Source organism: Homo sapiens, chromosome 11, assembly GCF_000001405.40.
Source record: "Homo sapiens chromosome 11, GRCh38.p14 Primary Assembly".
In the NCBI taxonomy this organism is placed as follows: domain Eukaryota; kingdom Metazoa; phylum Chordata; class Mammalia; order Primates; family Hominidae; genus Homo; species Homo sapiens.
In genome coordinates, this window is record NC_000011.10 from 56,734,600 (window position 1) to 56,752,928 (window position 18,329).

General features: G+C 38.7%; 1 protein-coding gene, 1 non-coding gene and 2 pseudogenes across 3 annotated transcripts; 2 read left to right on the forward strand and 2 right to left on the reverse strand.

Moving 5' to 3' along the window:
• Window positions 5,581–6,494, forward strand: OR9G3P (olfactory receptor family 9 subfamily G member 3 pseudogene; annotated as a pseudogene).
• On the reverse strand, window positions 6,624–14,098 carry OR9G4 (olfactory receptor family 9 subfamily G member 4). Of its 2 annotated transcripts, none has more exons than NM_001390832.1 (2): window positions 14,057–14,098; window positions 6,624–9,185 (listed from the first exon to the last, which is right to left on the reverse strand). In NM_001390832.1, the coding sequence occupies exon 2, from the start codon at window positions 9,165–9,167 to the stop codon at window positions 8,229–8,231; it is 939 nt and encodes a 312-aa protein (NP_001377761.1). In that variant the 5' UTR covers window positions 9,168–9,185; window positions 14,057–14,098; the 3' UTR covers window positions 6,624–8,228. The 2 variants fall into 2 exon arrangements, with proteins under 2 accessions (NP_001377761.1, NP_001005284.2); NM_001005284.2 differs by having other exon boundaries at window positions 6,624–9,189.
• On the forward strand, window positions 9,274–9,382 carry MIR6128 (microRNA 6128). Its single transcript, NR_106743.1, has one exon. It is a non-coding gene; the product is annotated as a microRNA 6128 (primary transcript).
• Window positions 16,398–17,385, reverse strand: OR9G2P (olfactory receptor family 9 subfamily G member 2 pseudogene; annotated as a pseudogene).

The following is an 18,329-nucleotide window of genomic DNA, read 5'->3' on the forward strand; positions in this document are numbered from 1 at the left end:
ATTTAAAAGCCCTTTAATACTTTTAAAAAAGTCTTGACTAGAATGCCACAAGCGGTGAGTTTTATGTCAACCCCAGTAGAAAAGTCAGCAGATTCAAAGTAGGCAGTAAGAAAAAACAAGAAAGAGAGACAGTGAACTTAGAAGTCTCTACATGCTTAGCATGGTAGTTGCAGATCTCTAAAAGAGTTTAAATAATGAACATTTGAGCTCTGAATTTTTCTTGATGTAACATTGCTTGTCAATTTTAAAATGTGCATAAGCATGAGCCATAAAATGTGGCTAGCTGGAGTCCCAAAAACCTGTCATGCCTTTATGTTTAAAAAACCCATTCTGTTTCTTACTCATCTCTTGAGAGCAAAGAAAATATTATCATTCCTATCAGGAAATGTCAGGAGTTTAGAGCAGTGTTTTAGATGGTAGCAATTGCACTAATGGCTTTTAATTAACCTTTCTGCACCCAACATTTGGAATATATTTTTGCTTTCAGAATAATTTTTTAAAAAGCAAGGGAAAAGAATCAAACCAAATCAAAAGAAACCAAGATAAGAGCATTCATAAAAATTTCAACCTCGGCGTAGAGATCAAACAAAATATTCAACTAAGCACAGAGACCAAAAGTGAATTCACCGCAAAAGACATGCCTTCTAGATAGAATGTAAATTCTGTAGAACCAGAGTACTCAATCCAGAAAGACACATGTCTTTACACCAGAAAAGATATACCACAAAAGACAAAAAGTATTTTATCACCCCAGGAGGGATGCATAGTCCCTTATTAGGTGACTTTATAAAAAAAAAAAAGATCCTGACTAATATAAAAAAGCCTCTACTAAAAGAGGCAGGCTCAGCCTAAGAGAAGACTCATCAGGGCAGAAAAGTGAGCCAAGGAAGTGGAGGAAAGCACAAGGGCCTCAAGTGAGCACTGCACATCAGTTCAAGAATCACCAGTTTCTTTGGATCATTATCTTTTTCGGGTTCTATTTGTGACACCATATATGTCAACCTAAATAACAAACACAGAGAGGCTATCTAAAAGAAAAATAGGTTTATCTGAGAATAGAGTGTTGCTGTGGGAATACAAATGCCACAGTAAACCGTATGCATATTCGGGGAGGTAATGGAAGACAAAGATTTTTTTAAAAATGAGAATTATGTGATTATTTTGAAATAATAATCTTTGGCTACATAGATTGATGACAAGGGTGATACCTGTTTTTTGTTGTTGTTGTTGTTGTTTTGTTGTTTGTTGGTTTTGCTGAAACATGCAGAGAATTTTTATTTATCACAAATGTTAATACTTATATTTACTTGCAGAACAGAGTCACAGAGAGATATGCAGGCAAGGTATTAGTGGGGTTCAAGGGTTTCGCACAACATTTAGTACACAGTAGGTTGCTCACTAAGGACTTGTCATATTTTGCTCAAATGCCAACTTTTGGTACCTTAGCTTGTCAATTAGTCATTTCTTATATAGATGATTTTTTGGATAATTGTCATACTACATTTTTACCAATTAAGGATTTCAGTCCATTTTTTATTATTTTTTTCAATCATAATTCAAGGTCAGGAAGTAGGAGCCCCATCCCCGCTCCCTTCCAGACAACAGAATAGTATTCTTACTAGGAGTTCCTAAGACCTAGCAATTCCAGCATGCGAATTGTGAGAGGACATAGCCAGGAAGATGAGAAACTGTAGCCATCATCCAGGGGTAATATATTCCATCTCTGTTGCTCCTTGCAGCCTGCAGGTCCTCTTCAGTGTCCTCTCCATTAAACCCATTAACATGTAGGATCCTCATCTGCTTCACATTGGTGCCTTTACCAGATTCTCCAGCACCCAGGAGTAGCAGGCGGTCCATGGCACGGTCGATGCTTGGCTGGACAGGCAGTTTCTGGGCAGGTGTCCTTGCAGAAGTACTCTTTTTCTGTAAAGTTGTGATGACCTTTGTGCAAGGTGTAGTTTTTGCAGTCTTTTATGATAGTTTTATCAGGAATACAAGCATGAGAAACCTCTCTTAATTCCCTCCGCTGGCTCTTTTTAAATTATTTTTTATGTATGTATGTATTTATTAATTATAGAGACATGGTCCCACCGTGTTGCCCACACTGTTTATGAACTCCTGGGCTGCAGAGACCCTCCTGCCTCAGCCTCCCAAAGTTCTGGGATTAAAGGCATGAACCACCATGCCCAGCCATATTTGTCACTTGTTTTTATTTAACACTAGTGACTTCATTTTGATTCCGGAAACTTTTATAAATGCAACCGATATTCATTTTAGTATTTCTCAACATAATCTACAAACAACCCACATTACAAGCGCTTGGGCTGCTTTAATGAAAGCAGATTCCTGGGGGCTGACCTGCAACCTCCTAAGTTAGAAACACTGGGGCGCTCTTAGGTGCAAAGAATTTGAGAACAATTTGTTACTTGAGTGTTTATAACATGCTAGGCACTGTATGTAGTCCTTACTTGAGTAAACTCCTTTAAACAACCCTAAAAAGAGATGAATTATCCCTATGTTACATATGAAGAAATTGAGGCTTTACATTGTTGACTAGTGATGGAGAACTTGAATCCTTCTTAGTTGTTGAAAGACAAATGCTTTTTCAAGGATATCCCATCTGTCTCTAGTGTGAGCAGTCAGCTCTGATTTCTTAGGCATGCTTCCTAAACGTCATGACATATAATGACAGGCAATCTGTTGCTCAGATGAAAAACAATTTCTTCACAGACACTCCTTTTGGGAAAACAAATATTTGTTTAGGCTGACTATATTGTGGACTGATTTCTTTGTTTGTCCCTGCATCTGTCTGCAAAATACACAAATGACCTGGGATTGCTGGTGCTGGGAAATGAATGTGGAATACCAAACAATTCTGTAGTGGTTTTAGGGTATAATGACATCATTAGAGGACACCCAGAATATCAATTCTCTTGACTTGTTTGTCTTCTGAGTCGGGGTTACCCATTTGTTTATTCCATAAATATTTATTGTACATCTATTATGTGCCAGGTACTATTCTAAGAAGTGGAGATATGTAACATGCAACAGAAACAAAAATCCTTGCTCTACACTATGGGCTTCTATCTCCGCTTTACCCCAGTGACCCAGTAAAAAAAAGTAAATAGAGAGCTGTACGTACTGCCACAGGTAATTTGACCATTTAGCAACATTTTCCAGTTATTTTGCATTTCTTTACACAATTCCTGGAAAAGCCTATGAAGATGCATAAAGTAAAATGCAAAGTTTTGAAGTAGTGGAGTCTCAATAAATGAAAACATCCTTTAAAGAGTGGTTCTTTCTTTATTTTATATTCAATATGTTTTATTCAATTATGGTCATTATACTTTTAATATGAAATTGTCTAAAATGCACCCAGTGGAAACTTCTTCAAGCTAGCTTCTGGGTCATTTAAACATGTCCCTATAATTTTTGAATATTTTCTTAGTTTCTGCCACAAGATGTCCCAGACTCATCTTATGCAATCCTTGACCAAAACTTGGGAGTTTCAAGGAGTTCTGGGTCCTTCCAGTGGAAAAATGGTATTTAGTTACCAAAACTTGTGTTTTGTGTGTGCTTATAGCTGCTGGGTTTTCTTTTCCTTTCTTTTTTTTTCTTTATTTTACTTTAAGTTCTGGGATACATGTGCAGAACGTGCAGGTTTGTCTTACCTAGGAATACATGTGCCGTGGTGGTTTGCTGCACCTATCAACCCGTCATCTAGGTTTTAAGCCCCACATGCATTAGGTATTTGTCCTAATGCTCTCCCTCCCCTTGCCCTCCAACCCCCAACAGGCCCCAGTGTGTGATGTTCCCCTTTCTGTGTCCATGTGTTCTCGTTGTTCAACTCCCACTTATGAGTGAGAACATGTGGTGTTTGATTTTCTCTTCCTGTGTTAGTCTACCAACAATGATGGCTTCCAGCTTCATCCATGTCCCTGCAAAGAACATGAGCTCATTCTTTTTTATGGATACATAGTATTCCATGGTGTATATGTGTCACATTTGCTTTATCCAGTCTATCATTGAAGGGCATTTCTTAAGTGTGTGGTTGGATTTATTATTATCACAAAGATAAGAGGACTACTGGATATTTAGTATTTAGTAGACAAGTATGAACACATCCTGCATCCATAGGGACAGCCTTATGCAAAGAAAAATGTTGCACTCACTACATCCAGACTCCCAATGCGTATTTGTGCATTAGAAAATATTGTTATAATTACATCAGTTTGAAATCTACTCTGCTCTACAGACAAAGAAAACATATTTTGCAAGGTTCTCCTATATAACAATTTAATAAAACCAAGGAAAGATTGTCATTTATTTTGTTTGAAACTTCATCAAGACTTGACCAACTTGTCAGGAAAACATCACCAATGTCAATGTGACTCCTGATATTTGAGTCACCAACACATTAATGATGATTCTACGTGTGTTGATTTTACTATCTATGTCCCACCAAGTGATCCAGCATTTATATATTGAATATTCAAATTATTTTATAATAAATCCTATATTATAATTATTTCATATAATAATTGTATTATGAATTATTTTTCTTTCATATCTCTTTTACATTAGACTTAGGATAGTTTACATACACATATATACATGTTTATACTTAGGTTACATTAACTACACATATTATTTCAAGAATCTAAAGGAAGCATTTCTAAATGTTTGTTTGACAAGAAGATTTTTCCAATGTGATAGCATTCAGAACTATTGCTATAGACAATATCGACTTGGGCTAACTGTCCTTTTAAGTACTATGTTCATGGCTAGTTATAGAGGCTGAGAGATAATGCTGAGTCTCAACATTTTATACCCCAAATACCCATAAAAACATCACACATTTTTTACTTGGCAGAAACAGATAAATTCATTGGTCTTTACCTGAGCTTCGCACTAATTCTCAACCTGATTCCTTCCCTGGAATTTATGATAAATGTACCAAAGACTCCTACAGAGTAACTAAGCAGATAATTTTTTCTGTGGTTGTGGAAAAATACAGTGTTACCACCTTCTAAACCATAGGGTCCTTCCCAGTTTTCATAGGCTCTGAATAATTTGTCCATCCATAGCTGGGAACAGGAAAAGGATTTTTTTTTTCTCTCAGTGTCTACATTAGTTGAGCTCTTTCCTAGTTTGTTTTTATCCCATCATCTAGTTTTATTTTGTTATTAGCATTTAACATTAATTGACACTGTACCTATTTGTTTTTTTATGTAACTCTCCCTTCTAGAATAAAAGCTCAGTAGGATAGGAGTCAGCCCTATCATCTTCACCGCTATATCCCACTGTCTGGAATAGCACACAGGGCTCAATAAATATTTTGTTTTTCAAGAAAAAATTAATAAACATTTCAATTAAGGCTTTTCTGTTATCAAATGCATTTTATTGCAATAAATATATTGAAGCTCAGAAAACTCCCATCACCTGCCCAAGGCAGCCAAAATTTATGCTTAGTGTTGATTATATGTCAGGTGCTTAGCATAGAAAATGCCATCATTTGGTATCGGTTGAGGCAATTAAACTCTTTTCTACTCTATTTGTAGGCGTGGTATCCATAAGCCATGCAGAGGAGCAATCACACAGTGACTGAGTTCATCCTGCTGGGCTTCACCACAGATCCAGGGATGCAACTGGGCCTCTTTGTGGTGTTCCTGGGTGTGTACTGTCTGACTGTGGTAGGAAGTAGCACCCTCATCGTGTTGATCTGTAATGACTCCCACCTACACACACCCATGTATTTTGTCATTGGAAATCTGTCATTTCTGGATCTCTGGTATTCTTCTGTCTACACCCCAAAGATCCTAGTGACCTGCATCTCTGAAGACAAAAGCATCTCCTTTGCTGGCTGCCTGTGTCAGTTCTTCTCTGCCAGGCTGGCCTATAGTGAGTGCTACCTACTGGCTGCCATGGCTTATGACCACTACGTGGCCATCTCCAAGCCCCTGCTTTATGCTCAGACCATGCCAAGGAGATTGTGCATCTGTTTGGTTTTATATTCCTATACTGGGGGTTTTGTCAATGCAATAATATTAACCAGCAACACATTCACATTGGATTTTTGTGGTGACAATGTCATTGATGACTTTTTCTGTGATGTCCCACCCCTCGTGAAGCTGGCATGCAGTGTGAGAGCTACCAGGCTGTGCTGCACTTCCTTCTGGCCTCCAATGTCATCTCCCCTACTGTGCTCATCCTTGCCTCTTACCTCTCCATCATCACCACCATCCTGAGGATCCACTCTACCCAGGGCCGCATCAAAGTCTTCTCCACATGCTCCTCCCACCTGATCTCCGTTACCTTATACTATGGCTCCATTCTCTACAACTACTCCCGGCCAAGTTCCAGCTACTCCCTCAAGAGGGACAAAATGGTTTCTACCTTTTATACTATGCTGTTCCCCATGTTGAATCCCATGATCTACAGTCTGAGGAATAAAGACATGAAAGACGCTCTGAAAAAATTCTTCAAGTCAGCATAATCCAAAGTCTGAATTGCCATAATGTTCTCAAATCAATGCTAAGTGATGACAAACTGCTCAGAGAGGTTACAGAACTGGATTTTTATTTCTTTTTTACCATTGAACAAAATTCAACAAGAAAAATTGTGTTTCTTTGTGTTTCGTTTGTTTGTTATGATTTTGAGATCAGACTATAATATATACTACAGTATTGTAGATTCAATTGAATACTGATACAGTTTTTAAAATTCAGTATCTCCGATTAATGCAAAATGGAAAAGTAATTATTCTGATATCCTAAAGTGAAATTAAATTTTTACGATGTTCTTTCCCATAATATTGACCCAATTATTTTTCCTACATAGTGACTATTATGGAGATGAAAAGAAAACATAATATGGATCATTGATATTTGCGGGATACACCCCAAATCCTTCTAGTCAAGTACTCAAACAGCTTCCTTTGTGATAGAGGAATAAGAATGTTAAGATTATTTTGATGGAAAGAGGTAGGATGTGTTGGAAAATAAATGCAGCTGAAGAGAAAGTTGAGAAATGTCAAGTAAAGACAAATGAAATGGCTACAACTATTTGTCCTAAATTTTCAAAATTTAATTAATTTTTTAAATGTGCTAATTCCAGCAAATGTTATAACCTTTCCTCAACAAAGTTGCTAACCTCTGAGCTGCAAGCTTGTGATTTGAAAATTGTAACCATTAATCCTTAACTTGCCATCTTCTAAAGGCTACTAAATGAAATATCAACCCAACCTGCCATCACAAGGGGGTTCAGTTATGGAGTTTATATCAGGGTTTAGGGAATTGGGCTCGAGGCCAAGGCTAGTTTCCATGTGGTTAGCAACATGTTTGATTTTTCAGGGTTTCAGGCATCGATCTAAACAAGTTTACCAGTTCTTAGGAATGTTCAAGGCCCAGGCTAGGTTCAGGCCAGGGACAAACATGCAGCTTATGTCTTTTGGTCAGGACAAAGGAAAGAGAAAGGTAACTAGGGAACAGTGGTTACTATTGTTGTTCATTTGTTTTATTTCGTTTGATGTTGTCACATCGCTGTGTGACCTGAGAGAGAGTACTGCGGAGTACTCACTCCTTGTAAGAGAGAAGACTGTTAGGATGATATGCAATTCTAAAGACACATATTTATTCATTAATTTTGAGATAGTTTTTTGTTGTCATTGTTGTTTGTAATCTGAACAACTCTTAAACATCTTCCTAATATTCTCTTTATGTAGAAGGCATGAGTTTTACAAAGATACTCCCTATATGCTCAATTAGAGCTTTCTGAAGAAATTTTGAGGAAATGATTTTCTTAAAATAAATATTTGTAAAATCTTGAGCATATTTCCAGAAGCCTCACCCTTTCAGATATTCTTGTCACCTAGTAAAGATTGCTTACCAAACTTCAAAGTCAAACTATATTCATTAACCCACGTAATTTATTTTGTTCCCCAAGATCTCCCAAAGGGAGCAAACACAATGAAATCTATGAAAGATTTAATGCTGCCAAGGCAAAATACCATATTGCAGAATGCCAAACAACCCAATATTATAAGTTTTAAATATTACTTTGTTTTGTTTACATCATAACAAACGAATAACAAGGAGTCATGTGGTCAATATTTTAATGTTTTAAATATGACTTATTGAACTTAATTGAACTACAGAAATGCAAATGAACACATTTATAAGCCAATAATCTGGAAAATTCAATAACAGCATTTGCAAAGAGAATAACCTTCATGTTTGTGGTTGTATAGTCTGTGTTGCTTTCCTGAAGGCCTCTTTGATATCTTTGTTTCTCAGGCTATAGATGAGAGGGTTGAGCAGTGGGTTGATCACGGTGTAGAACAGAGCAGCTACTTTGTCCCTCTCTAGGGAGTAGGTGGAACTAGGCCTTGAATACATAAACAACAATGATCCATAGAAGAGCATGACTGAGATGAGGTGGGAAGCACAGGTGGAGAATGCCTTGTGTCTTCCTGAAGCTGAGTGGATTCTCAGGATAGCCAGGAGGATGTTGACATAGGAAATCAGGATAGCAAGAATGCTGGAGAGTACTGTGAAGCCCACCACACCAAGCAGGACTTTTTCGTAGACCCTGGTGTTTGTACAGGACATTTTTACCAATGGTGGTGCATCACAGAAAAAGTGGTCAATGATATTTTTACCACAAAAATGCAGGCGGAATGTATTGGCAGTATGGGCTATGGCATTCAAAAATCCTCCTATGTAGGAGCCAGCAACAAGCCCAGTACAGAGGGCGGTGGACATGGTACCTGAATAAAGCAATGGGTTACAAATTGCTGCATGGCGGTCATATGCCATGGCTGCCAGGAGATAGCATTCAGTGTAGGCTACAACACAGGAAAAAAACAGCTGAGCCCCACATCCAGCCAAGGAAATGCGCTTATCTTCTGAGACACAACTGGCCAGGATTTTGGGGGTATACACAGAGGTATACCAGAAATCCAAAAAAGACAGATTGCCAATGAAAAAGTACATAGGTGTATGCAAGTGGGAATCAGTTCGGATTAAGATAACCAAGGTCATGTTTCCTGACAAGGTTATCAAATAGAGCATCAGAAACACTCCAAATAGAATCGGCTGCCACTGGGAATCTGCTGAGAAACCCAACAAGATGAATTCAGTCAGGATGGTGCAATTTCCCACTTCCATGTCCACGGAGGTGAAAGCCTGACTATCATGAGAAGGGAAAATCATCACTTAGTGTTTTTTCTATTCACACAAGTTGACAAGGGTATCAATTAAATCAACAATTACTAAGAAGCTTGTAGATTTTTCTCCCTTACTATCTAGAATTATAGGACTTCAGTCCATGATTTGGAAAAATTACTGGAATTGGAGTCAAAAATAATTTGAAAATTAGGAATTTTATTTATTAACTATTTAATGCAGGACAAGACCCATATTCTCATCAAACATGAAAAAAAAATGAAACTCACAAGGATAACTAATTACTTCTTCTTTTTTTTTTGAGATGGAATCTCACTCTGTCACCCATGCTGGAATACAGTGGCGTGATCTCCATTCACTGCAACTTCTGCCTCCTAGGTTCAAGCAATTCTCCTGCCTCAGCCTCCTGAGTAGCTGGGATTACGGGCACCTACCACCACACCAACTCTACTAAAAATGGTGTTTTACCATGTTGGCCATGCTCGTCTCAAACTCCTGACCTTAGGTGATCCACCCGCCTCAGCCTCCCAAAGTGCTGGGATTACAGGCGTGAGCCATCGCACCTGGCCGACTAGTAACTTCTTGACAGACTGTCTGATTGAATAAATAAAACATACATAAAAATAACACAGCCCAATATTGGGTACATTAGTGGGCACTCAAAAAATTTCACTATCTTTCTATAAGTTATTGAAAACTTCTTACGTGTCAAGTATTTGTATTGTTAAGTATTAGATTATTAAAGTTGCTATTTATATTACAAATATAAATACATTATGACCATGTACCAGTTACTATTCTAAGTCTTATACCTAACCCCTTGAGTCTTGGATGGCTTGGTGGTTTGCTTTGGCCAATAGATTGAAAGATAGGCAGCTCCATGTGGATTCAAAGCCTGGATTTCAAGAAGCTTTTTATGTTTCTCTTCTCACTTTTAAAATCCTACCACCACCATGTAAATAAGCCTGGGTTAGTTTGCTGGATAAGACATCTGGCTGCGCTCACTCTGTCACCCCAGCTGACTGCAAGTTGTCCCCCAAACATGCAGGTGGGGCCCTTCTATATGATCCAGCCTACAGTGGCGCTAAGAGCTACCCACAGACATGAGCACGCCCAGGTGAGAAAAGACAGGTCTGGCATAGGCAGAATTGCCCAAGTGATATGGCATCTGAGTTCAAACCCAGACCTTCTTACTTGGTAGTTCCATAATCTTGGAAAAGTATCTTAACAATTCCCCACCTACGTGTATTTACCTCCAAAAGGGCGAGAAAACATCCATGTTAAGAAAACAGCCCATTTTCTGGACAGAACATCAATCTACAAAATTTTAACTATCATTATTCTGAATGGGAGGATAATTATCTAACTTAATTATAAATTCTGAGCTTGCAAAACATAAATAAATAGACTAAGTTTATACAAATAAGCAATTTCAGCCAGAATAGTGGTATCGTCCAGTATCTTGCTAAAATCCTAGAATTTAATATTTTTGTCAACTATTTCCATGTAACTTGGCAAAGGAGTTATAGGGTTTAGGATTGTGGGGTCCAATATTTGGTACATATCCCTGACACTAATCACTGTATGATTTAGGAAAGTAATACCTCATCTCAGGAACACAATTCACCCATCTGAAAATTTTGGTTGATCCTATTCTCAGCACCAAACTTCCATGATTCCAATTTGCTAAAATCTCTTATAGAAATTGTTACGTGCCAGGTGCGGTGGCTCACACCTGTAATCCCAGCACTTTAGGAGGCTGAGGCAGGAGGATCACTCAAGGCCAGGAGTTCAGAACCAGCCTGACCAACATAGCAAAATCCTGTCTCTACTAAAAATCAGCCAGGCGTGGTGGTACACGGCTGTAATCCCAGCTACTTGGGAGGCTGAGGCAGGAGAATCGCTTGAACCCAGGAGGCAGAGGTTGCAGTGAGCTGAGATTGCACCATTGCACTCCAGCAAGGGTGACAGAGAGATACGCTGTCTCAAAACAAAAAAAAAAAAAGAAGGAAAAACTTTCATGAAACAATAGATAGCCTCACTTGTTGCAATACAGTGTGGCAGAGCAGATTAACAGTCCTTACATACACACGTATCTTGGGATACACAGGACATTACCACTGTCTTGGTTGAAGTGAGAAATAAAATTTGCTGAAGACAACTGCACCCTTCTTTTCATCTCAAGATTTGCATACACATTCTTGTGTCCTTAAAATACAATCCTATGGGCCGGGCGCGGTGGCTCACGCCTGTAATCCCAGCACTTTGGGAGGCCGAGGCGGGCGGATCACAAGGTCAGGAGATCGAGACCATCCCGGCTAAAACGGTGAAACCCCGTCTCTACTAAAAATACAAAAAATTAGCCGGGCGTAGTGGCGGGCGCCTGTAGTCCCAGCTACTTGGGAGGCTGAGGCAGGAGAATGGCGTGAACCCGGGAGGCGGAGCTTGCAGTGAGCCGAGATCCCGCCACTGCACTCCAGCCTGGGCGACAGAGCGAGACTCCGTCTCAAAAAAAAAAAAAAAAAAAAAAAAAATACAATCCTATGAAGTTGTGCATATTTTCTAAACACTGCATTTCTTAATTTCTTTATCTGCAAATAATTAATGGCTCAAATTTTTTGACTCATGAAGCTCTTTGAGAACTTGATAAACTCAGCAATGATAATTCTCAAATATGAATATGTACATATGTAAAAACACGCAAAATTTTAATGGGTTCACAAACTCCCAAAAATCTATTAGTTTGCCGGTTATTATTTCAGATTTAAAAATTCTACTAATGGAAGATGACTAAGTTTGGTCGGGTGCTAATATGCTGTAATAAGAGAGGAGTAATAGGTAATTAAAACTAATCATGTTTAAAGTTGAATTCCTAATCTGCAGTTCCAAAAATTGATTTTTTCATTCCCCATATTGGTTAATAAGATTTTACTCTTCCAGGATCTGAAGTCAAAAATTTGGAATCAGTCTACCCTGTTTCTTTCCTATCTACTTTTCCAAATTTCAGAAAATTGCAATTTTCCTACCTTCAAAATGTATCCTGAATCTGACCACTTCTCCCCACCTCCACTGCTACCACTCTGTTCAAACCACTATGATCTACTGCCAAGAATATTGCCATCACTTTCTAACTCATCTACACCCTTGTTCCCTATGGTATATTTTCAATACAACAGCCAGTGTAGGCCATTAAACAAATAAATAAGTTGCTTCTGTATTTAAAACCCTGTAAAGGCTCCCAATTTATTCCAAGTTAAAACCCGTAATCTGTCTCTCCCTTACCTAAAGAACCTTATCTCCTAACACTCACCACACTGACCTCCTCCTTCCTTCTGCCCTAGCCTCAATGGCTTTCTCACTTTTTCTCAAATGTGCCGTCTCTGTCCCAGCATCAAAGATTTATTATTATTATTATTATTATTATTATTATTATACTTTAAGTTCTAGGGTGCATGACTGTCTGTTCCCTCTGCCTGGAACACTATACTCCAGATGTTTTCATGGCTCACTCCTTCATCTTCTTTAAGTTCCTTTCAAACGTCACATTCTGACAAAGGTGAATGTGACATTTTAAATTCCATGCCCCTTTTAAATTCCATGCCCCTTTCCTTCCGACAATCTTCACCCTTATTACTCTACTCCAATTCTACTGTGTTATCCCCCTCATCTATTGTCATCCTCTAACTCCTGTTTATTAAATCTATTGCCTGCTTCTTCTCACCAGAATGCAACATCTATACAGCAAAATATTTCTCTGTCTTGTTTATTGCTGTATTCCAGCACAAAGAACAGTTCCTAGTCATGAATTAGCACTCAGTAAATATTTCTAGAGTGAGTAATTGGTTAATTACCTTCATATCTTGAAGCTGGTTTAGCAAAGTACTTTCTATTTCTTTTTTTTTTTCTTTGAGACGGAGTCTCACACTGTCACCCAGGCTGGACTGCAGTGGCACAATCTCCACTCACAGCAACCTCTGCCTCCCAGGTTCAAGTGATTCTCCTGCCTCAGCCTCCCAAGTAGCTGGGATTACAGACACCCACCACCATGCCTGGCTAATGTTTTGTATTTTTAGTAAAGACAGGGCTTCACTATGTTGGCCAGGCTGGTCTTGAACTCCTCACCTCGTGATCCGCCCTCCTCAGCCTCCCAAAGTGCTGGGATTACAGGCTTGGGCCACCGTGCCCAGCCAGTACAGTCTATTTCTAACCTGGTTCAAAATATTCAGAACAAGATCTATCCTCAAGTGGACTTTCCCAGCACAGTGTACTGTATCAAAATAAGAAAGAAGAGTAAATAAAAGAGAAGTCTCACTTCCGAGACCTAATTTGAAACAAGTTACCAAGTATCTGTGAATGTGAAATAAAAGGCACAGAAAATGTCTGAGCCAATCATGCTAAAGAATCTTCTATAGAAATGGCCTATCAAGATGCATCTTCCCCTGCAGCAGCCCAGATCTCTGATCCCTTCACTAGAGCAAGAAAAACTCTTTGGTAGGAATGTGCCTTCCTGGCATCTCAAAATTAATACCAAGAAGTGAAAATGCCATACACTAGTAGTTTAGAGTAGCACAATCACTGGGGTCAAAAAAGCAAGTCACATTTTTTTGTCCTCTTGATTTTTTCACTGTGTGAGTGAATATATGATGGCCCAGCATAGATACAAGACTGAGTTTCAAATTCTACGTGAGAGCAGGATGTATCACTGAATGGAATTTGATTTACTAGGGAGTCTGCACGTGCACCTGTGTGCATGTGTGGTGCAGCAGTAAATCGTTTGACAGCCGTGCCAGATTCTGTATCCCCCTTCTGATTTGCAGCTGAGGTCAGAGAAAGGCCAGACTTCCTATTTGCCCCTGATCCCAGGTGCTTACCCTTGGTTTGGAAGGCCAGCTCTTGGAAGTCACACTTTTCCCTCTCTTCTGGTGTTTAATGTGCCTTTGTTGCACTCAATATATGTATGTCCTCAACAGCCCTTTGAGACACCTCCCTCACACCAGCACAGAAATACGTACCTCTGTCTCCAAAGACTCAATTAGAGTTCATCTGGAGTTTGGGGATGTTAAATAAATTAGAAAATGATGAAATGAGGAATATTTCATTAAAAGTTGACTCTCTTAATGGATCTAACTCATAATATAATCCTGTTATGTTGGGTCTGTCTTATAATTGAATTTTTCCAAATTGTACTAATTAGACTTTTCTAAAAAGTATCATGTGGTCTATATTTTTTTTCCATGTCACACGCTCTTTTCTCTGTCCAGGCTACTCGCTCTTGTCTCCTCCACCGGCAATCTACTACCTATCCCACACATGCACAATGGTCTGAATTGTGTCTTTTGGAAATCCATTTGTTGAAGCCCTAACTTACTGTACCTTAGAATCTGACTATATTTGAAGATGAGATCTTTAAACAAGTGATGAAGTTAAAATGAGGCAGTTAAAGTAGGCTCAATCCAATCTGACTGGTGTCTTTATAAAAAGGAAAGTTGAACATACACAAGAAACCAATCCTGCCAGCACCTTCAACTTGGGCTTTTAGCCCTCAGAACTGTGGGAGAGTAAATTTCTGTTTTGTAAGCCATCCAGGCTGCACTATTTTGTTATAGCAACACTTGCAAACTGATACACTCAATTACCAACACTATTTTGGTAAAACCTCATGTTTTATTTGTAAAAAGACTACTATAACCAGGAAATTTGATATGTCATGGTGAAATTGTCTCTAATTTTTAATTAATTTATAACATAACATTAAAAAAAACATACAAAAATTCATATATACTTGATTGTTATCAGTCATTGTTTTCCTGGTAAAGATTTTCATTCTAAATCTTCCCTCGGATATAAAGTTTTCTGAAATCTCTCTCTGGTCCTACTTCTCGATCTGTTTCTATGTCCTACCTACATCTCCCTTTCTGCCTGTCTCATACAACTGCTGCACTACTGTCCTTAATTCTTTCATTGTTAAGGAAAATACTCTTTTATTGAAAGTGCATGGTGGTTCTAAGTATTGATATTCATTCTCTATTTTGTCTATTGCTAAGGAAATCTGTCATCTTTGCATCATGCAAGCTAAAAAATGAGAGCCAGAAACGAAAAAAACAAACTTGTTTCTAGGAGAACTTTATGGTAGATACTCTTTTTTTTTTCTTTTCATTTTTGTTTTTTAATTTTAAATTCTGGTCTACATGTGCAGGATGTGCAGGTTTGTTATATAGGTAAACATGTGCCATGGCTGTTTGCTGCACCTATCAACCCATCACCTAGGTATACATATACACCAGGGAATACTATGCAGCCATAAAAAGGAATGAGATCATGTCCTTTGCAGGGACACGGATGAAGCTGGAAGCCATTATCTTCAGCAAACTAATGCAGGGACAGAAAACCAAACACCACATGTTCTCACTTATAAGTGGGAGCTGAACAATGAGAATCCATGGACACAGGGAGGGGAACAACACACACTGGGGCCTGTCGGGGTAGGGCAGCGAGGGGAGCACACCAAGACAAACAGCTAATTCATACAGTAGATGTCGCAACAAGAAGCTGCAACAAGACTGGCACATAACTCTGTAGACGTGGCTTGGGATTAAAGCAGGGGCTTGGAGATTGCCTCATAGCAGTCATAACCCATGGCAGCCAGGAGGTAGCGCTCACTACAGGCCAGCCCATATCTACTATAGGGCAGTAGATACTTTTTGTGTGACTTCCTAACTCACTCTCTCATCTAACAAGTGAGGTAAATACCTTTGTTTTTTGTTTTCATTGTTATTTTTTGTAAGTTCTGGGTTTGCATTCTTTTTTCAAACCAATGACCCTCATTATTTCAAGTAAATCACTTAATCTATTTAATCTTAACAATGATTACATAACAAGTTATATTATTCTCATTTATTGTATAAAATGCTATAGACGTAGGCAACTTATGAAATGTCAAATGAAAAAAAAATTTAATCTGCTTTCTTTCAATATTCTCAGACCCCTTAACAATTTTATAGATTCCGTTCCAAGCTACCATGCATAGTAGCTTTTGCAAATGCCCCAGCCTCATTTATTTAAAAAATACATTCCAATACCTTAGCTCCAACTTAAAAACAAAAATGCAGACTTCCGTTTCCAAGTTATAAAATTATTTTATCTTTTATTTATTTCTGAGAATATAAGCTGAAAACAATGACGTGGAGATAATCTGTTAAAAATTGTTTACCAATATTTTTCTTTAAGAAACTGAAGTCTATCTAACATTTTCTTCAAGGCATCTTTGACATCCTTATTTCTTAAGCTATAGATCAAGGGGTTTAGCATTGGAATCACCACAGTATAGAACACTGACCCCAATTTATCCATTTTTAAGGCATAGCTAGTTCTTGGTTGGGAGTAAATAAAGAAGATTGCACCATAGTACAAGGTGAGAGCCGTCAGGGGAGACCCACAAGTGGAGAAGACCTGGAGGCGGCCCTTAATGGAACGGATCTTCGAGATGGCTGCAATGATGAAGAGATGGACGCAAGAATAAGTGCAGTGGGAGTGATGATTGGAGGCAAGCATAAAATGCAGCACAGCCTGGTAGCGCTCCTTCACATCACACACCAACTTTACAAGTGGGGGCAGATCACAGAAGAAATCATCAATGATATTGCTGCCACAGAAGCTCAAGGTAGGTGTCTCACTGGTGATGATGGTTGAGTTTACAAAGCCGCCAAGGTGTGAAGCCTCAACAAGACTGGCACATAACTCTGGGAATGTGGCCCGGGAATAAAGCAGGGGCTTGGAGATTGCCATGTAGCGGTCATAAGCCATGGAAGCCATCATATAGCACTCATTTTAGGCCAACACAGCAGAGAAGAACTGAGCAAGGCAGCCAGGAAAGGAGATGGTTTTGTCATCAGAAATGCAAGTCAGCAGGATATCGGGGATGTGGACAGAGGAATACCAGAGATCCAGAAGGAACCGGTTTCCAGTGAAGAAATACATGGGTGTGTAGGGCCAAGAATCAGCACAGATGAGAGAATTCAGAATGATGTTGCCTGAGAGGCTGATGACATAAATGATGAGAAAGATGAAAAAGAGCACTTGCTGTAACCCCAAATCTTCTGTGAACTCTAAAAGGATAAACAGTAAAAAAAGTAATCTTATTATGCTAACCACATTTTATAATATCATTGGAAGTACATTATTCTATAATTTCTTTGGAGTAAATAATTGTATTTCATTCAAATTTTTGTTCACAAAACTAAGAATACAAGTTTGCATAAAGTAGAACGTATGTAATTTGAATAAAAAGAACAGATGTGCTTACAAAATGGTATTTTCAAACCACAGCTACCTTCGTGACCCTAAAATGTGTCTGGAAATGAAATAAAAGTATTAATCATTGGAAAATTGTGTTCATAATTTGGGTTGAATTTCCTACAGAATTAATAGGTTTTTTTTAAAAAGAATGAAACTACCTAAAATGAATTGTTTGTGAAAGTATGATAGAAGGAATAATGACCCACAAATATACTCATTTTCTAATTCCAGGAACCTGGGAATATTACTTTACATGGGGAAAGGGTCTTTCCATATGTTATTAAGAGAATTGAGATGGGGATATTATCAGGGTGGGCACAAAATGTAATTACAAATATCCTTACAAGAGGGAGGCAGAGGGAGACTTGACTCAGAAAAGGAGGAGGTAGTGAGTGTGATCATGGGAGAAGAGGTTGGAGTAATGCAACCACAAGCCAAGTCATGCCAGCAGCCACAAGGAGCTGAAATAGAAAAGGAATGGATTCTCCTTTAGAACATCTGGACAGAGCACGACCCTGCCGACACCTTGATTTTGGCCCAGTGGTACTGACTTCAAACTTCTGAACTACAGAACTGTAGAAAACAGATTTTTGTTGTTTGAAGCCAGGAAGTTTGTGGTTATTTGTTACGGCAGTAATAGGAAACTAAATAGAAAGTTATGGAAACAACCCCAGAGTCTTCTTTCCCTCAGAGGTGGGAGCTGGAGAGGACTGTTGCCAGTCATGAGGGACACAATGTCACTTAGAGGGCCCCTACTACCACCTACCACAATCAAAGAAGGGTGACATTATGATTGCCAGTGTTCTGGGTTGGCAAGAGCTGTTAAATTTCTGCTAGAAGAGCCAAGGC

Excerpts from the sequence above, each read along its gene's own strand:
- OR9G4 (NM_001390832.1), bottom strand. The coding sequence starts at position 9,167 with ATGGAAGTGGGAAATTGCACCATCCTGACTGAATTCATCTTGTTGGGT.